This window comes from Homo sapiens, chromosome 21, assembly GCF_000001405.40.
Source record: "Homo sapiens chromosome 21, GRCh38.p14 Primary Assembly".
NCBI lineage: Eukaryota > Metazoa > Chordata > Mammalia > Primates > Hominidae > Homo > Homo sapiens.
Window position 1 is genome coordinate 41852380 of NC_000021.9, and position 26160 is coordinate 41878539.

The window sequence follows — 26160 nt, forward strand, 5'->3', positions numbered from 1 at the left end:
GAAGATCACAGTTACTTGGGCTCTGCTCAGAGAGCCCAGCCTCGCAGGACTTGGAAACGGCCCCTGACCCAGCAGGCACCACCACAGGGGCCTCCCTTGTGCTGGGCCAGGCCAGGCACCTGGTTTTGGCAAAGCCACGAGGGTGGGGCTAGGAGCAGCTGGGTGAAGAGCAGTGGGTTTCTCCAAGTTCTTTTTGTCCTTTTCATTCTTAAACATCTCCCCACAAAGCCACAGTCTTTCTCTGCGAAGGGTGCGAAGCCCCCAGTACACTCAGCTCACTTTACCAACCTGGCCGAAGAGGACGCCGCCACCGCTGCAGGCCCCAGAGGGAGCCGCCTGGCTCCTCACCAACCCTCCCCAGCAGCATCCCCAGCGGCCCCTCTCCACCCAGCCCTCACATGGCCCATAGTGGGTTCAATAGTGGCTCCCCAAAATTCACATCCACCTACCACCTTTGGGAGAGGATGTGTGCAGATGTCATCAAGTTAAGGTGAGGTCATGCTGGATTGGGGAGGCCTGAATCCAATGACGGGTGGTCTTATGAAGAGATGACACAGAGACATGGGAGAGAAGACAGGCAGAGACTGGAGTAACACAGCCATAAGCCAAGGGACACAAAAGGCTACTGTGCCAGCCACCACCAGAGGTTGGGGAGAGTCCCGGGACAGATTCTCCCTCAGGGTGCCCAGAAGGGACCAGCCCTGCTGACACCCTGACCGTGGGCGTGTGGCCTCCAGCACTGCGGGAGGCACATTTCTGACGTGAAGGCACTGGGTTGCTGGTGTTTTATGGGGGCAGCGCAGCGCCGGGACACTCCCACACAGCCCATTGTGGACCTGGGATTAGGGACAACCAGGGGCATTTTACAAAGCCTCAATCATACTGACAAACAGGACAGACCAGAACCTTCCAATAAGTTAAGAATCTTAAGCTACCGAGCTACTAATATTTTGGATTACACTGCATTTATAAAACAAGGAAACAATGCTCGTATGAGAATCAGGTCATTTGGGAGGGGGGTCAGGAGAGTCAATATCTATTTCGCCCCCTTGAGCAAAGAATCTTCATGGCAACATTAAATAACATTTGCTCCCCTGGGTAGTGTCAGCTTCGGCAATATGAAATTGCTGTTTTGCAGGTCAAAAGACATCAAATACCAGGAATTTCATAGAGTTTCTTCAGGTTTTATGAGGAGGATCTATGTCAAAAAGACCCATAACATGGATGAGAAAGATTTAAAATTCAGCAGCCCCGCTTGATGGGCAAAGTGATGCCCTGACCCCGGCTTAGCAGGACAGGCACTGTGACCCGCTTTTTCAGCAGGAATGCTAGATTTGGGCAGATCACGCACATAACCTTCACTAGGGCTTTCTTTGAACACGCATGCACACACACACAGGTATGCACACGCGCGCACACACACACTGCCCCCAAATCTGGGAGGAGGCCATTGCACGGTGAGCAGCAACACTGGAGCCGGGTGCCATGGACCAATCCTGATTTCTTCATCTACTCCACTGTGACCTGGGGTCAGTTCCTTAACCTCTCTGTGCTGTTTCCTCCGTCCAAAGACAGGGCTAGTACCCCAGCCTCATAGGATTAGGAGGATGGGTCACTCACTGCACGTAGCCCCCAGGGCAGAGCTAAGCAGTCATGCGCCATGTGACAAGGTTTCAGTCAAAGACAGTGGTCCCATGAGATTCTAATACAGTATTTTTCCTCTATTACTTTGTCTATGTTTACATAGACAAATACTGACCATGTGTTACAGTTGCCCACAGCATGCAGTACAGTCACATGCTGGACAGGCTGGTAGCTAGAACAGGCTACACCATACAGCCTGGGTGTGTAGCAGGCCAGGCCATCAAGGTGCGCGAGAGTGCGCTCTACCATGCACTCATGACAATGCCATCGCCCCAGGACACATTTCTGAGAATGTATCTCTGTTGTTAAACACTGCCTCACTGTGTTAACTTGTGTTACATCCACGTGCCCAAACTGACCAAGGATGTTTAAAACAAGCAGAAAGACAGACCCGACTCTCCACTCCTCCACTCTCCGCATCCCAGCAGCTGGCCCAGCCCAACCCATCTCATCAGTGTGGGGTCAGCACAGAGCCAAGGGACCATAACCCCTTCGGCGAGGCACAAGGGAAGGTGGGCTCCGGATCGGGGGCCGCCACATACCGTGGACGCCAGAGCCGGCCTGCTTCAGCATGGGCTTGTCCATCTTCTTGGCATAGAAGGCCGCATACCACACGCGCAGCTCGGTACCCGGGGGGATGTCTCTGGAGGTGGTGAAGTACACGTCGCTGCCGTGCTGGTAGGCCGTCAGGTTCTGGTGCTCGGCCTCCGCCGCTGGCCGCACCAGCATCATCCAGTTGCAGTCATCCTCGTTGGAGGTGTCGAAGCACACGGGGTGCCCGTCCTTCTGGAACACCTGAAGGTGAGTCGGCCCATGGAGAAGCCGGGGAAATGGCTGATTACCCATCTGTGTATCAGCGTGTGGGGGGCAGGTGCTGAGGAACCCATCTAGACAGTGCCACGTCAGAGGCCATAAGGGCTCCTGTACGGGATGTTGAGGTGTTTACAATAGTGAGGAGGGTCACAGGTAGACCATGTGGTTTGGACGGGTCAGGTTAGTCACAGGCAAAAGGAAGCAGCAGACACAGCCAGCGGTCTATGTGTCATTGGGATACCTGAGTGTTACTCACGGCCCAGGTGCGGAACTCAAGTTCTAATCAGGTTCTAGTGGGCATGGGGACACCAAAGTTCTAGTCCTGGTCCAGGTGGGCTTTGAGCTACCTGAGCTTCACTCCCAGTCCACGTGTCACGGGGACACCTAAGGCTCTCCAGATGGCCCACTGGGAACTGGGACACAGTTCTACTCCCAGCTCCGCCACAGGGTGCTGGGCTCCTCAGGCTTTATGAGCTGCCTCCCCATCTATCAAACAGCACTATTGCTTTATGGATTAAATGCAGGCAGGCAGCAGGGAGAAAAACTTACATATTTTGAAGTTCAAATCAACCACATGACTATAGGAGGGTTTTGTTCCTTATTTTCTGATGTCATGGTCTCTTCCTCCCTGCAGGAAGAGAGCTCTCCCCTCTCCTAAGCTTCTCCTAGAGAGGCCTCTCCAAAGACGGAGCCCTTGGAAGTGAGAGGCAGGGGTGGGGGACCACCAGGCACCTAATGACCACCAGCTGCTGAGGAAGGTGTGCTCCCAGCTGGCGGCACGCTCTCTCTGGTGGGCACAGAGGAGCTGAACGCTGGTGCATGCACTGAGAACAACCCAGTACCAGGCGATGACCTTCAGAATCGCGTAGCTGAAGGACCACCAAAATGGGCACAAAAGACTTCTTTAAAGGGGCCTCGCCCCCAACCGTGCACCCACACCAACTGTGTACGTCGACCGGATGGGTGCTGCAAAGGACAGGCAGGTAGCCAACGGCCTTTCTGAGGCTGTTTTAAGCATTGTTACATATTTCTTCAACTTAAAACAGCCTTTTCTTTCCTTCCTTCCTTCCTTTCCTTCCCTCCCTCCCTCCCTCCCTTCCTTCCTTTCCTTCCCTCCCTCCCTCCCTCCCTTCCTTCCTTTCCTTCCCTCCCTCCCTCCCCTCCCTTCCTTCCTTTCCTTCCCTCCCTCCCTCCCCTCCCTTCCTTCCTTTCCTTCCTTCCCTCCCTCCCCTCCCTCCCTTCCTTCCCTCCCTCCCCTCCCTCCCTTCCTTTCCTTCCTTCCCTCCCTCCCCTCCCTCCCTTCCTTTCCTTCCTTCCCTCCCTCCCCTCCCTCCCTTCCTTCCCTCCCTCCCCTCCCTCCCTTCCTTTCCTTCCTTCCCTCCCTCCCCTCCCTTCCTTCCCTTCCTTCCTTCCCTCCCTCCCCTCCCTTCCTTCCTTCCCTCCTTCCCCTCCCTCCCTTCCTTCCTTCTTTCTTTTGTAAACAAATCAAGTGCCTTTCCTTCTTCCCCCCTTTTTGCTGAAATCTGCCTTACAAGCTCAGCTTTCCAAAGGACTTCCAAAAACCCAAGCTTGTTGACTTCATCTGCCTGTCCTAAGACAAGCAGATCCATTTCAAGGGTCTCTAAGAAAAGTTTGCTGACTAACAACCCATTCCTCATTTGTTTATTTCACAGATATTTCTGAAGACTGGCTGGCTTGGGGTACGATACAGAGGGCAGGCATGGCAACAGTCAAAAACCAGCCTCGCCTGGCCTCATAGCCTTCCAGAGGGCTCATTTTTTACTTATTCTAAAGCCTGCCTTGCAATTTACATACATCTTAGTTTTCTCGAGTTCACGTCAAAGTAGAGAACCACTGTCTTCTCTCAGTCTGATGTGCTTTTTAGAACGGCCAAACTTCACACTATTGCCCAATGTCTCATCACTGCCTAAACAAACACCTTCCCTTTGAAAGAGGTTTGCAAACTACCATACGCTCTGCACAGGTGTGGAAATAACTAGAGCGATGGGCCCCTGCAAGACGCTGCCTCGTAAAGCCTGCGACAGCAATGGAGGTCGTAAGACAGCTGGAGTCAGCATTTGGGTTTCTCCTGCATATGTCTTAAACACACTCTTTAGTGTTCTGCAAAATTGAAAATTACAAAATACTAACTTAATATCGATGCTCTTGCAATGTAAAAAGAAACATTTTCTTGGAAATTAAGCAGACCTACAATATTTGGAGCTGTTTTTGAGGCATTTATAAATCATGGAAACTCAGTGGTCCTTGCTCCCCATTCCCACATGGGAACGCCAGAAAAACACCCAGTTCCTGAGCTCCTGTTTGGCAACAGCCTTTACCTTCAGGGGAAATGCAGACTCCTTTTCCCATTTGGCGACCCTCCTGGACTCAAAGGGACCGAACTGTGTCCGCTTGACGAGCTGAGTGATGGCGAACACCCCCTCGGCTCCATCTTCCAGTCGTCTGATCTCCAAGTTGGGAGGAAGGGATGACCTGGAAATGGAATAAAACAAGACTCAAAAGAGAGCACTCACACCCAGGGACCGACTCGTTAAGATAACCTAAAAGCTCGCCCTCACTGACCGCCAGGGTTCTTCGGAAATAAAATTCTCCAGGTGATAAAATAGAAGCCTTCCAGGCCAGGCTTGGTGGCTCACGCCTGTAATCCCAGCATGCACTTTGGAAGGCCAAGGTGTGAAGACTGTATAAGCCCAGGAGTTTGAGACCAGCCTGGGCAATATGGTGAAACCCTGTCTCTACAAAAAATACAAAATATTAGCTGGACATGGTGGCATGTGCCTGTAGTCCCAGCTACTCGGGAGGCTAAAGCAGTAGGATGGCTGAACCCGGGAGTTTGAGGCTGCAGTGAGCCAAGACTGTGCCACTGCACTGTAGCCTGGATGACAGCACAGGACCCTGTCTCAAAGAAAAGAAAAAAAACAACAGAAGCCTTCCTAATAGGTGCTCAATGATGACTGAGACTGAGGTTGTGATGATGCCCTCGGGCTGTGGCAAACTACCCATAATCTTGTGGCCTTAGCTACACAAGGCCGACCACAGGGCCCTGGTGAGATTCACCCAGAGCACACCATGGCGGGGCTGTGCACTGAAGGATGGGTTTAATTCCCCGTGGGAAAGACAGTGCCAACAGGTGCATCCCTGGTGGGGCTGCTACGGGACAGAACAGGGTCAGACTGGTATGGGGTCCAGCGATGGAGGAGGGACCACAGGGAACTCGCTGCTGAGGAGCCATATGAAGAGCACCCCGAGAAAGACGCAAGGGCCATGGAAGTCCCAAACAGAAAGGGTTTCCAGCCAAGTGGAGCGGGCCAGTTTCACTGAGGATGTGACCTCTTTAACTGAAGTAGAAGAATGTCAAGGACTGGGGTCTGGGGAGGAAGGCATAGGAGCCGGGACGAGCCCAGGACACGTCCAGGACAGAGGCGGACATGGGGTCCCCAGAGCACAGGCCCCTCGGACAGAGGCGGACATTGGGTCCCCAGAGCACAGGCCCCTCCGACAGAGGCGGACATTGGGTGCCCAGAGCACAGGCCCCTCCGACAGAGGCGGACATTGGGTGCCCAGAGCACAGGCCTCTCCGACAGAGGCGGACATGGGGTGCCCAGAGCACAGGCCCCTCCGACAGAGGCGGACATTGGGTGCCCAGAGCACAGGCCCCTCCGACAGAGGCGGACATTGGGTGCCCAGAGCACAGGCCTCTCCGACAGAGGCGGACATGGGGTGCCCAGAGCACAGGCCTCTCCGACAGAGGCGGACATGAGGTGCCCAGAGCACAGGCCCCTCAGGGCGGGCAGGAGGCCGCTGAGACAAGGAGCCAGCACGGAGGGTCTGACTGCAGGACCAAGGGTTTCAGCTGAATTTTCATGGGCAACAGGCAGTCCCTGAGGGTTCTGGGGAAGAGGGGGGTTGATGGGAAGAGGGGGGTTGATCTACTGTCTACTTTAGGCCAAAACATTAATCTCTTTGAGTCACACTAAGAAAAAAAAATAAATGAACGGTGTTGTGGGGCAGTGGGGAGGCTCCTGGAAACAGTTCTGGAAAGACGGCGGCCACCTGTGCAGCGGCAGCACGTGCCAGGTACCATCACCCACAACACCACAACCACCCCACGGGAACTGCCATCCTCTACAGAGGCCACCGAGGTCCGGAGAGGAGTGCCTTGTCCAAGCTCACCTGCCCTGGGCCACCAGGTGGCACAGCCTCCCCCAGGTGAGGGTGGAACGGCAGGGCAGCTGCTGCCCACTGAGCCGCCTCACCAGGCCTGCAGGGACTGCTTCTGGAAGCTGCTGTGGGTCAGCCCTGTCCCTGTCCTCATAACCCCGCATCCCCTGCCCCGCCTGGGTGTGCACGTGTCCGCTGGCAGGCCAAGACCTGGAATGCAGAGAGAAGCCAACGAGCAGACCTCCAGCTTGGCTGCTGGTGCTCAGCACGTCAACCACCTTGGCAAGTCCACTCTTCTGCAGCCTCCACACACTGTGTCGGGAACAGCTGGGCTCCAGCTAAGAACCCTGGAGTGGATCAAAGAAACTCACTCTGGAGCTTTGAAGCACGTGTTTTGGTGTGTCCCGGCAGCAACGCTGCTCAGTTCACAGTGGGAGCGGAATCGCTGGCTCTCACTCAGAGTGCCTCTGTTCTCCCTCAGGCTCCTTCCTCCCCGTCTGCAGACCCAAAGGCCACTAGGCTCCTGCCGCAGCTGGCATATGGAAGGCCCGGGAGCTCACGGCGGTCACTCACCTTGCCCTGCTTAACACAAAGGAGTCTTTGACCATGACCACTGGGCCCAGCTCGGGACATTCGGAGTCGTGGTACTGGCTGCAGTCTTCACACCCTGCAAGCAGACATCCGGGCATTAGAGCACCCAGGGAGGGAGACACCTAAAGAACACAAACCTGGGAAATGGGGACCCTGGCCCCATGAGGGTGACCCAGAGTCATGAGACACATGCATGCCGACACTGCAAAGACAAGCAAGGGAGGGTGCATTGGATGGCAGAAGGCCTGTGTCCCGAAGGCCTCTGTCAGCACTCGTGCACACATGAGGAGTGCAAAGGCAGGACACGCCCCCAGGGAAAGCTCTAGCTCCGCCGCACGCCTCAAATCAAGCACGGTCACCTCCATGGTGACGAAGACCAAGACCCTCCCCAAAGAATGAGCATAAATGAAAATGGCCAATGTTAGCAGGTTCATCCCTCCTGCCTAGCCCTGGATTACTTTTCTGAATCAAGTGCTACCCCCTGCAAAGTGCCCTCGGCCAGGAGTTCTGAGAAAGGTGATCCTATTAAAACCATACCCCTGTAGTGTACTGCTTATTAAATAAATGTTTCATAGGGAAATTTTAAATATATAGCTTTTCTATATTATAAAAACCAAATGTAGACGTGGCTTTGCCCAGACAGCAAGCGCCACGCCCATCTGTGTTCTATGACATAGGGCTGGTCTCGGACCTGGGACAGGTCCCTGGGTCACTTACAGATGAACATGATCTCTTCGCTCCCATCTTCAGCCATCTCTGACACCTGTCAGGATACAAGAGAGCCTCATTAATGACAAGCTCTTACCAAAATACTTTTGTTTTGTTTTTGAAATTGAGCTCCCTCTGTTGCCCAGGATAGATAGAGTACAGTGGCAGGATCTTGGCTCACTGCAACCTCTGCCTCCCAGGTTCAAGTGATTCTCCTGCCTCAGCCTCCTGAGTAGCTGGGACTACAGGTGTGAGCCACCACACCCAGCTAATTTTTGTATTTTTAGCAGAGACGGGGTTTCACCATGTTGGCCAGGCTGGTCTCGATCTCTTGACCTTGTGATCCGCCTGCCTCGGCCTCTGAAAGTGCTGGGATTACAGGTGTGAGCCACCGTGCCTGGCCTCTTACCAAAATAATGTTTAAAGACAATTCCTACTAAAGGCCTCCTCCAGCCAGTACAGGAACATTACGTGGTGTTCTAAAGAGAGCACACAGTGGGGTCTCCTCTTATTGTGGGATGGGGCTGGGATCCCTGAAACATCTTCTCACCTCAAATAATGTTATTTTTAATGAAAGCAATGGATTTGAATGGCCTCATGAACTCAGACTTTCATCTTTTCATATTAGCCATCAATTTCCATTTTTAAAACAAATATATCACCTTTTTTTGGTGACAGGGTCTTGCTCTGTCGCCCAGGCTGGAGTGCAGTGGTGTGATCAAGGCTCACTGCAGCCTCTACCTGCTGGGCTCAAGCAATCCTCCTACCTCAGCCTCCCAAAGTGCTGGGATTATGGCACAAGCCATCGTGCCCACCTATATCACCATTTTTAAAAAGCCGGTTGTCACTTTTTTTCCCCTCACTCCTAACCTATGCCTGGTGCCCCATAAACACTTGCTTCTCTGGGGACTAAATCAATGCGTGACGTTGTGGAGGACTCTCGTGCTCCCACATAAGCTGTTATCAGATCCAATAATTCTATTCCCTATCCATCCTTGAGGTTCACCTCCAGAAACACTTGCATAGTGGGTAGATGAGCATAAACTGACACCCCCCACACACATATATTCACAGGGTGGATCTAGACATTGTTCATTCTGGGGCCTCACATTCCTGGGCTGTAAAATGGAAATAAAAACACCCACCTCATGCAGTTTGGGAGGAGCATAAAGTGAGATACACACAGTATGTGCCACCAAATGATTATTCCTCCTCTGCCCCCCCCCAATCCCCAACTGTGCGCACCGGCATGTCCTTCCTGCAACCTGCTTCTCTGATGCCCGTTGCTGAGTGGTTTAGGAAAGTGTGCATGCTGGCACTTCTTGAATGCTGATTCCACACGCCCTCCACCCCGCTCATCCCCAGCAGCTTGAAGGGTGAAAAGCAGACCGTGCAAAACTCATATGGAAACTCACAGTCACTGAACTTGTGTGTCTGAGAGCAGTGCCGGGTTGAAAACTTCAAGTTAGGAGAGTGAGTTAGCTACAAGGAAGTGAGGCAGAGGAAAGAGAGTTCCAATTTGCCCTTAAAATGCCAGAAATAACAAGGGGAGGGGGGTGAAATTTTCTCCCAAAACAGCACTGTATCTTCTTTTCCTGGGAACACACATTCACGTTCAAAGGTATCTCGTGCGGCTCTAGCAAGTGTGACTCAGTTTCATAGCCGCATTCGGCCTTGCCTGCCCCAGTTCCTGTGGATGGGCACCTCGGCGCAAATAGGGACCAGTCTGGGATGGGGGCTCAGCTGGGCAGTGAGCAGGAGATGAACAGGACAAAGGGCAGAAGAAACCCAGAGTGGGGTGGGGAGGGCGCACGCTTTCATGAGTTGCTGCTGTGCTACTGGAGGTGTAGGACCTGCGTGCCCCCTGCAGGAACCCACGTGACTCACGGTCAGGAGCTTGGGCGATGGGAACGATAGGCCTTAAGAGGCGCCCCACACTGCGGTCAGATCACCGCAGAACACAGAGTCCCAACAAAGGTATTGGAATCGGAGTGGGAGGATGGAAGGAAGTCGTCCTGGCCTTGCTTACTTGGGAGCCTGCACGAATCCCCTGAGGCCTTGTGTGGCCGCCTCTCCCCGGGGCAGACCTTGCCTCTGGCCTACACCTCTCACAGACTGCCCACCCCTTCTAGGTGCCCCCAAAAAAGGTCCCCTCTGAGCGGAGCTGCTGGGAGAGGAAACCCAGAAGAGAGGGGCGAGGGAAGCTGGAGAGCAGGGTTTTAGCCCCCTGTGCTGCACTCTGATTCTATGTAAATGTCCGAGTCCTGGCAATAAGGGTCCCGATTAGCAGCATCTGGTCCCCAAAATGAGGCCTCTCTAAAACGGCTCCTCTGGGCCCAAGATCAGAGGCCACAGCCACCCTGGGCTGCAGATCAGGCCTGATAAACGGAGCATCTTCAAAGTCTTTGCTGTCTTGGCAAAACTCCCTTTAACACTCAGAAAGTGCCTTCATAGAAGGGGAAGTGTGGTCTCCAGACCTCTAAGGCACACAAGACATCCCAGAACAAGGCACACAGGAAGTACTGTTTCAGGGAAAAGGAGAGGAAAAAAGAACTAGAAGTTCGAGATCCTGGGCAGGCGTGTGGCTCACGTCTGTAATCCCAGCACTTTCAGAGATGAGGACGGGCGATCACTTCAGGTCAGGAGTTCGAGACCAGCCTGGCCGACATGGTGAAACCCCATCTCTACTAAAAATACAAAAACTAGCCAGGCGCGGTGGCACGTGCCTGTAATCCCAGCTACTCGGGAGGCTGAGGCAGGAGAATCGCTTGAACCAGGGAGGTGGAGGTTGCAGTGAGCTGAGATCACGCCCCTGCACTCCAGCCTGGGCGACCGAGTGAGACTCCACCTCAAAAAGAAAAAAAAAAAAAAAGTGTGAGGTCCCCCTATCTCAACCACCAATCCTGGGAAGACTTACCTTACATTAGTGATTTCAAAATGTGGTCCCTGGACCAGGAACCAGCAGTGCCAGCACTGCTTGGGAACATTTCAGAAATGCACATCCTTGCCTCCCACCCCCAGACCTGATGAATCAGGCTTGGCAGAGGGCCCTGCACTCTGTTTGCAAAACCCTCCACGTGGTTCGGATGCAGCTCAAGTCTGAGAACCACTGCTCTGCCTGAAAAATCTCTTTACAATTTATATGACTACTACTACAAAAACTAACTAAACACACCTGCCATCACAGTAAGACCACAGTAATAATATCAGGAAACCAAACTTATCAGAAATGTCAATTAAGCTCAGACCAGGACCATCTGCATCTAACCTGGTGGTAAACGGGAAATGGGGGGTGACTTCAGGCAAATGGGGGGTGACTTCAGGTTCCTTACACGGAACGCTCCGTGAAGACACCTGTTAAAAACAACTTTGAAAAAGAAGGCTGAAGTGACAGACTCAGTCTACCTGACTTCAAACTTAATTATCAAGCTACCATCATAAAAACTTTGATACCGGTGAGAAGGTGGACAGAAATCAATGGAACAAAACAGACAACCCAGAAATAGACCTAAACAAACATGCCCAAAGCATTTTTTTTTTTTTTGAGATGGAGTCTTGCTCTGTCGCCCAGGCTGGAGTGCAGTGGCGCGATCTCAGCTCACGGCAACCTCCGCCTCCCAAGTTCAAGCGATTCTCCTGCCTCAGCCTCCCGAGTAGCTGGGATTACAGGCACGTGCCACCACACCCAGCTAATTTTTGTATTTTTAGCAGAGACGGGGTTTCACCATGTTGGCCAGGAGGGCCTCGATCTCTTGACCTCGTGATCTGCCCACCTCGGCCTCCCAAAGTGCTGGGATTACAGGTGTCAGCCACCGCGCCTGGCCTGCATTTTTTTACAAAGACAAAAGCGGATTGGATTTTAAAATCCAAGCGAGGAAGGGCAACCATTTCAGCAGTTAGTGCAGGAACAACTGGGCATCCACAGTTCATTCAAAGAAATGAACTATAACTTCATATCTTACTAGAAAATTAACTCAAAATGGATCACAGTCTTAAAACATAAAATATTAAATAATAATAGAACTTAGAAAAACAGAGAAAATCTTTGGGCTCTAGGGCAAGCCACAGTTTTTAGGCTTGTCACCAAAAACACAATCTATAAAAGGAAAATCATTTGCATCTTCATTCAGAAGGCAACAGGCAACCCAAAAACCAACATGTCAAAAAGTAAAAACATCTGGATGCTCCTGACAAAGTCTCTCTGCCCCCACCTCCTACATCTTAGGACGCAGTTGTCAGAGAGACCTGGAACCGCTGTGACCTCTCTCGCCTCCCTCTGACACCCGCCCATCACCCACTACCTGCAGCCCCCCTTACTACCTCCCTTGGCCACATCCCACTTTCTCCCACCTGTAAGGCTGCAAAGGGTCTCCAGATAACTCTTCCTCCTCTGCCTGGGCCGCCAACCCATTTTCCACACTGCAGAGCAGTTCTTCTAGAACATAAATCCAATCACATCGCTTGCCAGCCTGAAGCTTCACTGGCTTCCCACTGTCCCAGGAACAAAACCCAAACTCCTGCACATGACCAGGCACTGCCTTTCTCAGCAGCCTTCTCACCTCACCTCCCCACCCCCACCCTCTCCAGCCACGCTTCCCGGAACGCCAAGCTGGGTCCTGCCTCTGGGCCTTTCCACATGCTCGCCCCCCAAGGCTGGCCCTCTCCCCAGCCCTCTCTGCAATGCCCGCTCACTCCTCAGTCCCCACTCCCCACTCCCCTGCTCAGTCCTCACTCCCCAGCCCTCTCTGCAAGTTCCCACTCCCCTGCTCACTCCTCACTCCCCAGCCCTCTCTGCCATGCCTGCTCACTCCTCAGTCCCCACTCCCCACTCCCCGGCTCACTCCTCACTCCCCTGCTCACTCCTCACTCCCCAGCCCTCTCTGCCATGCCTGCTCACTCCTCAGTCTTAGCTTAACGTCACTTCTTCAGGGAGGGTCTCCCTGATCCACCTGTCCACAGCGTGGCATGCTTTCTAAAAGCGCTCTGCGATTTCCTTCACAGCACCGTCACCCGTGTAGCCATGCCTGTGTGTGACTGATCTCATGTCTCTCCCACCACACTTCAACGGCCAAGAGGGCAAGGCTTGTGGCAGCCTTGCACAGTGGGATATACTTGGACCCTCCTCGGCACCAGCACACGGGACAGGTCAACGTCTGATAAGAGAATCAGCCACTTCCTGGTACACCCCCTAACACACCCCAGGCTGTGGACGCGAGGTCCACCCCAGGCACAGCCACTTCCCCTCAGTCCACCATGGGGGTTCCACCGTCTTTCAAGACAGAGCCCTAACCTCACCCTCCCTGACACCTTGCTCCCTTCAATTACTCTCACATCCTCTGTGATCCCCCCAAAAAGCTGACTCTTCCTAAACCACTATCTCAGTTTCACATAATGTCATGCACATGGTCTGTTTTTTCTACTAGATTTATTTTCTTTCATTTTATTTTGACACAGTCTTGCTCTGTCACCCAAGCTGGAGTATAATGGTCCCATCACAGCTCACTATAGCCTCAAACTCGTGACCTCCTGCGATCCTCCAGCTTCAGCCTCTCAAGTAGCTGGGACTACAGGCACGCACCACCATGCCCAGCTAATTTTTTAATTTTTTGTAGAGATTTGGTCTCACTATGTTGGCCAGACTGGTCTCAAACTCCTGGCCTCAAGCAATCCTCCTGCTTCAGCCTCCCATTTTGGATTACAGGTATGAGACCCCACGCCCAGCCTCTACTAGATCTTTAACCATGAAAGACAGAAGCTTAAAAGTGACTTTTCCACTCACTCCTTTTGTTCAATTCTTATGTATTTTGTATGTAGCACCCTATGTATAAGAGAGCCCTGATAAATCTTTTGACCTGACACCTTCTTCACCTCCAGATAATTAAGAGTGGTTGGAAAGTTCCAAATGTTTCATTTGCACAAGTTACGCCAAGAAAGTTCAGAAGTTTAGTCAGATTAGCACTAAGATCTGGAGGAGAAATTTTACATGTTCCATATAAAAAGGGATTTTAAACTTTTATATTATTGTTTTCGATATTTACAAAGCACCTAGCAAGGTTCCAATGCTACCACAATGACCTGCGCTTGGCCTCTGCCATCCCCCGTCCATGACAGGAGGTGGCCCCGGCCTGGGGTCTCTCTCCTTAGTGGCCTCCAGGGACCACCCTGGTCTGGCTTTGGCCAGGCCGCTGCCTTCCCTCCACTTGACACTAAGCCTGTGTATGGGGTTCCTGGTTCACGTACTTGAAAGAAAGTTCAAACAAAGCCTGTGCTACTGAAGAAATCTTGCAAGCCAACAATGCTGTTCTTGGAATCTGCAGCCTGGCACCCACAAGACCATCTTATCAGCTCAAACAAAACGAAGTCCATTTCTTGTCCAGATATTCGTGGGACACCTAACATGGCCAGCTGGTGTTGAAGGGGCTGTTCATTTGGGGCAGCAGAACGAGCACAACGCTTCCCCCCTTCCACACACACTACACAACAGAGGGTGCGACCGGGGCCTGCACAGGGGAAGCCAGAGAGGGCTGGTAGAGCCCAGATCCGGCTGGACCACCTGACCCGCATCTTGATTCCTGGGGAGACGCCACAACACCTCCACTCCCTGGGGAGACCCTACTCACTCCCTTCTCAGTACAAACAGGGAAAGGTCTAGAACAAGGAATCCGAACTTTCTGTTGTTACCAGATGGGTGGATGGGTTCAACCACAACCTGCTCGCCTAGCAGGGTGACCTCCCCAGACAGGGCTAAGGGAGCAGGGACTCCTTTCTGTGCTGAGCTCTGAGATGTGGGGAGATGCCCGACACCCTCAGCCCAGAAAGCCCAGAAACCTCACTGACTATCTGAGTTTTGCACAGATTTTCTATTCACACACAGAGTGACCCTGCAGAAGGCAGCCACTCAGGGGCCTCTGCTGCGCCGGTAGTCAAACTTCGTAACACCAAAAGGAGTTAAGATGCAACTCCTTTCTACTCTAGCCCTGACCTCCTCCGTTCGCAATCTTCCCCAGGGCTGGGGGCAGATTTTCCTGGTTCCCCCAGGAAAAGTTTTGTGCAAAGGGTCCTGAAAGCAGTGAAAGGAAAGCAAGCTGAGGCTCTACACACTTCAGCAGAACAGGTGAAACATACATGTTGAAGAGACAGAGTCTCACTATGTTGCCCAGGCTGGAGCGCAGTGGTTTTTCACAGGCGTGAACATAGCGCACTACAGCCTCAAACTCCTGGGCACAAGCGACCCTCCTGCCGCAGCCTCCGCATAGCTGGGAGTACAGCCGTTGTGCCCAGCTTGAAAAACCGTTTTGAGGATTATTTATTAATATGATCTGCAAAGGCTGAGGAGGTTTAGAAAAAGCTACTGGTTTTGAAATATTAGGAAATGAAAGCTTCATGATTTTAAAAGACACATGTCTGGAGAAAATCTTCTCCATCTGTACAATTTTGTCATTTCAAGAATGTCACATAGGCTGGCACAGTGGCTCATGCTTGTAATCCCAGCAGTTTGGGAGGCCAAGGCAGGTGAATCACCTGAGGTCAGGAGTTCAAGACCAGCCTGGCCAACATGGCAAAACCCCATCTCCACTAAAAATACAAAAATTAGCCAGGTGTGGTGGTGGGCGCCTGTAATCCCAGCTACTTGGGAGGCTGAGGCAGGAGAATCACTTGAACCTGGGAGGTGGATGCTGCAGTGAGACGAGATCCACTGCAGCCTGGGCAACATTGTCTCAAAAAAAAAAAAAAAAAGAATGTCATATAAATGAAATCAGACAGCCTGTGACCTTTGAGATTGGCTTTTTCTAACTGAAATAATGCCCTTGAGATCCCTCCAGGATGTTGCCTCTATCAAAAGCTCATTCCTTTATATTGCTGAATAATATTCCATGATTCGAGTGCATTACCGTTTGTTTAGCAATTCACTCACTCATGGAAGGACACTTGCAATTTTTCCCACACGGGGCTGTTACAAATAAAGCTGTTAGGAGCAATCGTGTACAGGTTTTTTTGTACATACGTTTTCATTTCTCTGAGGTAAATGCCCAGGAGTGCAATGACTGGGTCATCTGTTAGGAGGATGTTTCGTTTTTGAATAAACTGACAGGCTGTTTTCCAGAGAGGCTGCAGCACTTTGCACCTCCCACCAGAGACACAGGAGAGATCCAGTTTCTCGGCGGCCTCACCAGCATCTGGTGGGTCACTATTTTTTATTTTAGTCATTCTGGCAGATGTGAAGTGGTGTCTCCTTGTGGTTTTAATTTGCATTTCCCTAGTGGCTAAAGACGCTGAACATCTTTTCACGTGCTTGTAGGCCACATGTATTAATATTAATAAATCCTCTTCAGTAAAAGGTCTCTGCATCTTTTGCCCATTTTCCTTTTTCTTTTTCTTTTTTTTTTTTTTTTGAGATGGAGTCTCCCTGTCACCCAGGCTGGAGTACAGTGGCATGATCTCAGCTCACTGCAACTTCCACCTCCCAGGTTCAAGCAATTCTCCTGCCTCAGCCTCCAAGTAACTGGGAGTACAGGTGCCCACCACCATGCCCAGCTAATTTTTGTATTTTTAGTAGAGATGGGGTTTCACCATGTTGGCCAGGCTGGTCTCGAACTCCTCACCTCGTGATCCACCCGCCTCGGCCTCCCAAAGTGCTGGGATTCCAGGCATGAGCCACTGCGCCCGGCCCTCTTGCCCGTTTTCTAGTTGGACTGACAGGGTTATTTTACGGTTGTGCTTGAGAGTTCCTTATCTGTATATATAGATGCTTTGTCGCATGTAGTTTGCAAGTATTTTCTCCCTGTCTGGGGCTTGTCTTTCCATTCCTCCCACTCCCAGTTTAAGGGTCTTCTGCAGAGCAATGGTTTTTAATGTTGTTGAAGTCAAATGGATGGACCTTCCCTTTCACAGACTATGCTTGTGATTACCACATCTAAGACCTCTCTTCACCAAGCCCAAGGTTCCAAAGACTTTCTCCTACGTTTCTTAGAAAAGGCTTTAAGAGGGAGTCTCACTCTGTCGCCCAGGCTAGAGTGCAGTGGCGCGATCTCGGCTCACTGCAACCTCCACCTCCAGGGCTCAAGCGATCTTCCTGCCTCAGCCTTCCGAGTTGTTAGACTACAGGCACACATCACCGGCTATTTTTTTTTTTTTTTTTTTGAGACATGGTGGAGTTTCACTGTTATTGCCCAGGCTGGGGTCCAATGGTGCGATCTCGGCTCACCACAACCTCCGCCTCCCAGGTTCAAGTGATTCTCCTGCCTCAGCCTCTGGAGTAGCTGGGATTACAGGCATGCACCACCACGCCTGGCTAATTTTGCATTTTTAGTAGAGACGGGGTTTCTCCATGTTGCCAAAGCTGGTCTTGAACTCCTAGGCTCAAGCCATTTATCCACCTCGGCCTCCCAAGTGCTGGGATTACAGGCGTGAGCCACCAGGCCCAGCTAGAAAAGTCTTATAAGTATACATCTTACATTTAAATCTGTTATCCAATCTGAATTAATTTTTGTATAAGCTGAGAGGCTGAGGCTGAGGTCCACCTTTTTGTCTACAACGCCCCATGGCCTCGGCACTGCTGACTGGCTTCTGCGCCTCTGTCAAAGCCGGATGCCCACACTTACGTGCATCTATGCCTGGGTCTCCCTTCTAGTCCACTGATCTCTCCAGCAGCACCACGCTCGGCGGAGCCCAGTCAATGCAGTCTTGATGACTGCAGCTTTAATCAAGTCTCAGAGCTGGGCAGAATGGTTCCTCCCACTTTATTCTTCTTTTGCAACGTTGTTCCAGCCATTCTATTCTAGTTCCTTTGCCTTTCCATATAAACTTGAGAACAATCTTGGTTTAAGCCATAAAAATTCTTGCTCAGATTCACATATGTAATTTTAGTAACATTTTATTAATCCAGTACACCCAAAATATTATGTCAACATCTATTAATATAAACAAAGAAAAGATACAATATAAAAAAAGTATTAAGGAATTTTTTTCATACTAAGCCTTAGCAATCCAGTGTGTATTTTACCCTTTCAGCTTCTTAATTTGGACCAGGCACATCTCAAGTGCTCAGAAGCCAGCCCTGGTCTGGAGGCTCAGGGAGTTTTTGTTGAAGCAGGAGGAGCATCTTTCCCGCTGGGCACACGGCCTCGTGACAATATTAAAAGCACTCAGGGAAAACCCACTAACGGAAAAAGCAAACGTATTTTCAAAAATATGCGCCGCAGAACCATCCTGAAAAATGCTGTGGGTGGGCTTCAGGGGGCTAGCGGGTGGGTGGAGACGGACTCTGACTAAGTCAGTTTGTGACACCCTGCAGATTCCCACTCTGGAGTCACGACACACACAGGCACGGCAGAGGCCCCGAAAAGTCCTTCAACAAAAATCTCTGCTGAGATGTGTTCTGTCCAGCAGGTGCCCGAATTTATTTGGGCAAAGAGCACCTTTTGCACACGCTGATGAACGTGCTCAAGAAGGATGGTCCACACTGCAGACTCCCGGGGTCAGCAAAGGGGCAGGGCCTGGCTTTGCTACAAGATAGAGGACTAGACACCAGGCCCAGGGTGTGAGTCTGCCTCTGCTGTTTACCAGATGAGAGAGACCTCAGGTGAGTTATGGCCCCTCCAAGGGCCTCAGTTTCCTTCCCTTACAGTAAGAGGGGTGGCCTGGTACTCACCAAGTCCCTTTCAGTTGGCACAACTTCCAAATTTCAGTTCATTGTTACTGTCTCATAAAGTAGTGTTAAAACACAGATACAGACATACAGATAAAACACAGATACAGACATGTAGATAAAACACAGATACAGATGGGTAGACAGAGGTTTTTTACCCAGCTTCCAAGGCTGTGATGAAATGGCACAATACAGCAACCACTCCTCACTGCCTGCTGCCCAGCAGTTAAAAGGCATGTGTTCTACAGGCCGGCAGTAACTCCCTTTCTTTCTCATTTCCCATTAAATACAATGCTTTCTTCCAGCCTCGTCCAGGGGTTCTGCATGCCCCAGGAGTGTTTGGGGGACTCTCTTTGGCCCTCCATTCCCCCCACCCCCACCCCCCAACCTCCTGCACCACCACCTCTGCCTCTGCCTGGGGTCACCCTCTCTGTCACTGTCCCTCTTAAGCAGCAGCTGCCATTGTTAAAGCCACAGGCTGTCCCTGTCTGGGCCCATATCCTTCCTCCCCTACTGGAGTGAGCCCACCAGGAGGTAGGGCAGGATTGCGTCGCAGGCCTGCACTCGCAGGGCTCAGTGGCTCAGTGTCGGACACCTCATTCCCTAGAGATGTTTCCAAGAGCTGCTCACTGACCCTCTGGTTCCCAATCTGGGACCTGTAGGCCAACAGTGGGTCACGAAAGTAGACATGAGAAGCCCACTGTCCCTCTCCACGTGTCTTGAAACATGACAGAAACTAACAGTGGTCCTCTGTTGTTACCACTGACAGCCAATCAGCAGCCTCCTTCCTGGATGGTTGCTGCTCCTCCAGACCTGCTGCGTTTCATCACCTCTCCAGCACCCAGGCTCAGGACGTGCAGACACAGGGGTGCTCTGACCGGCCCTGCCGAGTACAGTCTCTCCTGTAGCATGCCGGCCTCCACCTGCGCACACCTACGTGACATGACCAGAACCCTCCTTGGCCCAGCCCCGCCCATCTGCAAGGAAGGCCCCAGGATACAATGGAACATCGGGCCCTTTTATTTCCAAGTCTTTCTTTTTGTCTTCTCTAAAATAAAGCAAATAGCTATTATATAGCTAGAAATAGTACAAGGTTTTCTTAAGAGTATTTCTTTTATGATTTCTTCTCTTTTGTCACTTTCTGAACCTCTTGGTTTCATCCAAATGGTATCTATATAAACAGCTTTAAAAAACAAAAAGTGCCCCTTTCCCCTTCCCCATTTGCTATCCCATTCCCCAGGGCGGCCATTCAAGCCTCTTTCTGCTGTATCTGATTCTACATCTCAAAATAACATGCTTCTCTGAGATCCCTCATTTCTCAAACTTGGATCTTGCATTTTTACTTCTTATGGCAGATGAAGGGCTAGCTTTCTTACATTCTCTTCCCCTCCCCTCATTTCCCAGTATGATTATAGTTAAATCGATGTATATATTATGACTCTGAAAATATTGGCTGCCCTAACAAGTTCATTATTAAAACATTTTTTTCTTCAAAAGAAATAATGAACTTAAACAACTTCATTATCAATAACTTTAATTGATTTTTTATATTTGCTTAGGCCTTATTTTTTACACTTTTGACACATAATCAGTTGTACCTATTTATGGGGTACAAACTGATGCTTCTAATGGATAGTGATCAGATCAGGGGAATAAGCGTATCCATCATCTCAAACATGTATCATCTCTTTGTGTCGGAAACATTCAACATGCTGTGCACACATTTTGTTTGCTACCATTGTGCGGGCCAGAGGTGGTGGTTCAGGAGGTCGGGGGATGGTGAGGGCCAAAGAGAGCACAAAACGCACACTCCTGGGCACGCAGAACCACTGGATTCGGCTGGAAGAAAGCACTGTATTTAGTGAGAAATAAGATGAGAAAGAAAGGGGTTTATAGCCAGTTTATAGAACTGTGCTAGGTGGCTTCACGTGCATGTGGCTTGTTTTTGCTGCCTGTGTGCAGGTTTTGTGTGCTGCACGTGCACGGGTTCTGTTGCTGGTGGTGGTAGGAGGGAAAGACACCCATAGCTATAACTTCCCGCACCCTGCGATTGCGTCTCCTTACAGTTTTTCACCGGGTCAGACCAACAAGATGGACCAGGGGTTCCACTGTGTTTCCTAGCACCTCTCCTCCTTGTCCCATGCCCTCAAGGTCTGACAGCAGCTGCATCCTGGGCCTCCCCTTCCACATCAGCCTGGGGGCGCCTGGTTCCTTCTCCTGCATGTGAAGCTGTTTCCTGAGCCTCGTTGCTCCCCTTTCCTTAGTCTACTCCCCGGATCTGGAAAGCACATTTTCCCGTAGTTTCCGTAGGAGGGCGCATGGGGGTATATCTTGTGGGAGGATTTGTCATGTCTGTGAATGTCCTTATTCTACCCTCACACCTCGGTTAGGCTGCCTGGGTACACGGCCACTGGTCACTTTCACTCCGAACGCCCAATGTCCAAGGAAGGACTCCATGGTCCGTCAGCTTCCAGCGTCGTGGCTGATGCATCTGGTATCTTTCCTGCCAGCAAATCTCCTCTGTGCAGCTCTCTACCTCCAGAATCTTTCAGAATTTTTGTTATAGCTCCCGTGACCTGAAATTCTGTGACCTGCTTTGATGCTGTGCACTGACTGGGCCTTCAACCATGCCCTTCAGCCCTACTGTTTTCTTGTACTGTTTATGATTTCTTCTCCGTTCTCACTTTCTGAACCTCTTAGTTTCATCAAAGATGACATCTATATTTCTCATTTTCACATCTGGTTCTTTAAGAGGGAGAGAAAGGTGTGCCCTCTACCATCTTAAAAATGGAAACTCTGCTGGGCACGGTGGCTTATACCTGTCATCCCAGCACTTTGGGGGGCCAAGGTGGGAGGATTGCTGAAGCCCAGGAATTTTGAGACCACCTTGAGTAACACGGAGAAACCCCATCTCTACAGAAAACACAAAAGTTAGCCAGGCATGGTGGCACATGCCTGTAGTCATAGCTACTCGGGAGGCTGAGGTGGGAAGATTGCTTGAACCCAGGAGGTAGAGGCTGCAGTGAGCCGAGGTTGCAGTGAGACGAGATGGAGATCGCACCACTGCCCTCCAGCCTAGGTGACGAAGCAAGACTCTGTCTCGGGAAAAAAAAAAAAAAAAAAGCAAACTGAGGTAGTGTAGACTCTACCACACTGATGGCTGCTCTAACTGGCTGTCCTGTGTTTGCTTAATTTAAAAAAAAAAGGGCGGGAGGACTGACTCCTACTTAACGATGAGGCTTGTGCGACCCTAGAGGGCTTGGATGGTGGAGAGGCTGTGAGTGCTGGTTTAGCGTATTTCAAAAAGCAGACAGAATGAGAATAGGCAGAGAGCAAAGCCTGCAGGTCAGATGTGCTGGGGGATAGGGACCCAGGGAGACAAGAGGCATCCAGATGACAGGACCAGCTAACAGTCAGAGTTGAGGCGGCCTGCTCAGAACAAGGACCCTGTTGACCTCTTGCCTAACGTGGTGCTAAAATAACATTTATGTTTTTGGTCACAATAAAAGACAAACCTACTATAACTAAGCAGCATGCATATATATATATATATATATATATTTTTTTTTTTTTTTGAAACTTACAAAAGGCCAGAGGCCAGAGGGTTACGAGACACCTGAAACACCCCTTCTCAAAAGCAGACTCTGGTCCAGTGAGTGGACAGTTAAAAGTCCAACCGCATTTGCATCCTGCAGGCCCCACCCACATCAAGAATTAAGGACCCTGAACTCACAGTGAGTTTGCCGTGAGCCGCATCACTTAGTCAAGGTTTACTGATGACGCCTGCAGTAGGTCAGCACTCAGAGCTGTCAGGTGCAGACCTGGACCACGATGAACAAGGAGATCGGTCAAACGGAGCCAGTAACAGATGGTGCATCTCAGGCAAATAAAAGCATCCTCTCTGAGAAAGCCGAGCTCCAGTTTTATGTAAGGGTATGGAAGCAAGGAAGAGCTGAGCCGTCTGTGCTCATCAGACCCCACGGGCTTGGAGGACTCCAGGACAGGCTGACACCTGTCATCCCAGCACTTTGGGGGGCCAAGACGGGAGGATCGCTGATCTTGGCTTCTCCTGCTCTGAGTAGGATTCATGTAGGACGAGTGGCTTCAGCAGGGTCCCTGCCCAATCCCAGGTCCTCTCCACCCGAAGCCATCCTTACTGCCTCCTCTGGAAATCCCTTCTGCCCTGGAGGGTCCCTCTCACTGCGTGCTCCCTCCTAAGCCCCTTTGCTGTCTGCACCTCCCCTCCAGAGCCTCCACAGGGGGTACCCCAAGCTGGCTACCTAGACCTCCGTCCCTCTACATGCAGCACTTACCTGCCACCCCCAACTCCCAAGCCGGCATCCTGGCGGCCCCTCGCCCTGCCAGGCCCCGGACGGCAGCTCCACCTGATGCCTGGAACCAGGAGCAGCCAGGCTCTTTGAGTTTTGCCAGTATCCCCATGAAAATATTTCCTAAAATGCCACTCCCTGCATCTCAGCTGACAGTATAAACTGTTCATCCCTGTTTTAAACAGCTGCAAGGGACATCATTTCCAGCATACTGTAAATACTGAGTTAAAATAAAACTGCCATGTCACTCTTGTAAATATATCTATTAGAATCTAGGCACGGTGACGTGACAGCCATGGCCATCTATTTACAACGCACACGAACAAGCTCTTCTTAAGGCCAGAAAGTATACACTTCTTCCTCTAGGAACTCCTATTTCTGTTACTACAAAATGTAAACCCAACGTTATATATTCATGCTTGAAATCACTCTATTGATTCACCCTACTGTAACTTTTTGCAACACAAACATGCATATAAATTGAATTCGTCTTGATTTCCTACAACCATAGGGCTGTGCTAACGTCTCCCGAATCATCACCGCAGTACACTCGTGTGTAGCTTCCTGACAGGATTCTGAGAAATGCATTGCTATGGGATTTTGTAGTTGTGCAAACATGATAGAGTGTACATACACAACCCTAGATGGTATAGCCTACTACACACCTAGGCTATACGGCCCAGCCTACGACTCCTAGGCTGCAAACCTGTACAGCACTTAACTAACGGAATACTGTAGGTACCTGTAACACAATAGTAAGTATTTGCTTATCTAAACATAGAAAAGGTAACGTAAAAAATGCGGTCCTATCATCTTACAGGACCAGCATGGTATATGCGGTCCACCATTGAACCATATCTCCTTTTCACAGTGTGACTACAATTGGAACACCACTGATCAAAACAGAAATAGTCTCCACTTCGATAAATCATCATCTGATATAAAAGCTGTGTTTAATAGAAGAGAAAGAGCTTTTTTCCCCTAATCAGTTCACATAGCATGGACAAATGCTCGCCTCTGTCCCTATTCCTCTTTCTAGAAATGCGAGCACAGAGAAGCTGGTTCCAGAAATAAGGAGACGGGAGCAGAAGGGGCTTGGTCACAGCAGAGTCCCCCAATGCCACATCCTCTTGAGTTCTGAGCCTGAATTCATCAAAGATCAACTTGTCATCAACGATCACCATGAACACCGCTGGTGTAGAGGCTCCCGCAGCTGCTGCAGACCTGTGGCCCACGGGGGAGCCACTCCCCAACACCCTTACATCTGCTGGGACCCCGCAGTTTCCACACCCCAGGGCCATGACTGCAAGAGGAGGGACCTTTCCTTAGGAGGAGCCTTTTGAGGAGCGGACGTGGCCCCGGGGCAGGGTCTTCTCCCACTCTGAGGGAGAGTTTGAAGATGTCTGCTCTACAGGGCCCCTGAATGCCTCAGGTCACCTGCACCTCAGTAAATAGTAGCTCCAGTCACCCACCATGCATTTCCAACCAAACCAGCAGCAGGCCTGCCTGGCTCTGGAACTAGGCTCTGTCCTGCCCCATCTCCCCTTCTGCCTCCGAGTTCTGTGGAGTGGAATCATGCAGGGCCTGGATTCCAGTGATGCCAGCTCCATTCCCCACACACAGCCAAAAGATGCAGACTCTGCCCCGCCACTGCTCAAAGCCCCTCAGTGGCATCCACAAGGCAGTCAGAAGAAAATCTCTGCCTGGTGCATGGCCCCTGCTGCCCCACCTCCATGGCCACACTGGCCTGTCCCATCCTGGGCTCATCCCACCCCAGGGCCTTTGCATTTGCCACCATCTGCCTGGTGGGGGCAGGCACCACCGCACCCACCTCCACCAGAGGCTCCCTCACAGCACTGGTCTCCACTGTGGCCCCTCCTCAGACAGCCCCTTCTAGTCCCAGCCCCCAAGTGCCCCATCCCCTGCCCGCCACCTGCCTGCCCTCCTTCCTTTCTTCATGCTCTTCCCATCGTCTTACCTGAGAGTTTTATGATTTTCTGTCTACACCACCTCCACTCCCCTGCCCAGAACATTAGGTCCACCAGGTGCAGCCCTCTCTCCATTCACTACAGCGTGGGGGCACATAACAGGTGTTCAGTAAACATTGGTGGAAAGAATGCATGAATGGCCGAATGAATGAATATCTGCCCACACCAGCACTGTGAGGGGAGCTGAGCAGGGCCATCCACACTTTGCAAATGAGGAACGGAGTCTGAAAAATCATTTAAGTCACCGCTCACCATCCCAACCTCTTGAGCGCACGGGTGGAAGACACAGTTGCCTTAAATCTCCCTTCAATCTGCAAAATGGCAGGACTGTTCTTTCCTGGCCTTCTGTACAGATAATGACATCGAAAATGATATGAGAGCCACATCCTAAGTGAAAAGAGTTCTTTGTCAAATATAATTATTCTAAGACAAGCTAGCAGCCTTCCAACTACAGTTGATTTTTAAATTTATTTATTTGTCTTCTGGAGAAATAACCGTCCCGCCTGCTTCCAAAATGGAACATTTAGCTTGTTCTTTGCTGGCTACTTTGCGGCAAAAAGTATGAATCACAGATAGAAGAAAAACAAACTATAAAAAAAATGGTGTTTTTGCTCTTGAAAGTCTAAATTATAGAGCTACTATTTCTTAATCGTTCACCGTGAGGCAGCGATGTCAGGAAATCTGGGGAAGGAGTGAAGCAGTGAAAACGTGGAACACGTGAAAATGTCCGAGCTTGAAACAAAATACGGTAGTGGTGTGTGCACCGGGGTGGGATCACCACCCTTATCGAGTGTTGACATCATTGCATTCTCCAAGGAGAACTGTCACTGCTACCTTTTAAGGTACATCACAAAGCCAGTGGCTCCTTCACATGTCACCACCCTTCAGGAACCAAGCTAGGTTCTCCAAATTCACTTGAGTCTGGCTTAAGCCAATGTGGTTTTTTTAAAACGAGTGTTGGTAGCTTTAAATACACACACAGGTCCACGTGTCTCTGATCACACACTTGTTTCTACCGTTTTAAACTCCCTTTGGGGACTTGGGGGTGAGGGGCAATTTCTGAGCATTTGTGGGGGAAAAAACCATCCACTACATTAGGGGGTTAAGAAAGGTAAATGGGTGATAACTCTAACCACCAGATAGGAGTGTTTATTTCCATGAGTTTTCATTTCTATTTTCTCAAGGCTAACCCCTGCGTGAACACCTCCCCTCTAGCAGGACGCTGCGCGTGGCCCCCGTCCCCACCTGTCCACGCGAG

At 50.8% G+C, this 26160-nt stretch overlaps 1 protein-coding gene across 25 annotated transcripts in view, besides 5 other annotated features; it reads right to left on the reverse strand.

Moving 5' to 3' along the window:
* Positions 1–26160, reverse strand: part of PRDM15 (PR/SET domain 15) — an 81120-nt gene that overhangs the window by 54155 nt on the left and 805 nt on the right. For 17 of the 25 annotated variants that reach the window (NR_135464.2, NR_104258.2, NR_104257.2 and 14 more), the window contains exons 2-5: positions 7948–7993; positions 7213–7306; positions 4797–4950; positions 2187–2439 (exon numbers count right to left, since the gene is read on the reverse strand). Coding sequence is in view for 20 of the 25 variants with exons in the window: in XM_047440940.1 (XP_047296896.1) it covers positions 2187–2439; positions 4797–4950; positions 7213–7306; positions 7948–7984 (538 nt within the window). In the remaining 5 variants the exon portion in view is untranslated. Of the gene's footprint in view, positions 1–2186; positions 2440–4796; positions 4951–6651; positions 6850–7212; positions 7307–7947; positions 7994–9183; positions 9373–9545; positions 9629–10855; positions 10924–12288; positions 12374–14920; positions 14999–19114; positions 19243–22319; positions 24804–25154; positions 26145–26160 lie in introns of those variants that run through there. The other 8 variants (NR_104260.1, XM_011529679.3, XM_047440936.1 and 5 more) reach the window with 6 other exon arrangements.
* Positions 1710–2909: an enhancer, noted in NCBI's record as "CDK7 strongly-dependent group 2 enhancer chr21:43274198-43275397 (GRCh37/hg19 assembly coordinates)". NCBI's record gives its function as "activates an origin of replication core promoter dependent on BRD2, BRD4, P300/CBP, MED14 and CDK7 cofactors, with strong dependence on CDK7, by STARR-seq in HCT116 cells {active_cell/tissue: HCT116}" and the evidence as "EXISTENCE:reporter gene assay evidence [ECO:0000049][PMID:35650434]".
* Positions 12326–12415: an enhancer, noted in NCBI's record as "active region_18488". NCBI's record gives its function as "activates an Ori minimal core promoter by ATAC-STARR-seq in GM12878 lymphoblastoid cells {active_cell/tissue: GM12878}" and the evidence as "EXISTENCE:reporter gene assay evidence [ECO:0000049][PMID:35858748]".
* Positions 12936–12995: an enhancer, noted in NCBI's record as "active region_18489". NCBI's record gives its function as "activates an Ori minimal core promoter by ATAC-STARR-seq in GM12878 lymphoblastoid cells {active_cell/tissue: GM12878}" and the evidence as "EXISTENCE:reporter gene assay evidence [ECO:0000049][PMID:35858748]".
* Positions 13296–13345: an enhancer, noted in NCBI's record as "active region_18490". NCBI's record gives its function as "activates an Ori minimal core promoter by ATAC-STARR-seq in GM12878 lymphoblastoid cells {active_cell/tissue: GM12878}" and the evidence as "EXISTENCE:reporter gene assay evidence [ECO:0000049][PMID:35858748]".
* Positions 25789–25838: an enhancer, noted in NCBI's record as "active region_18491". NCBI's record gives its function as "activates an Ori minimal core promoter by ATAC-STARR-seq in GM12878 lymphoblastoid cells {active_cell/tissue: GM12878}" and the evidence as "EXISTENCE:reporter gene assay evidence [ECO:0000049][PMID:35858748]".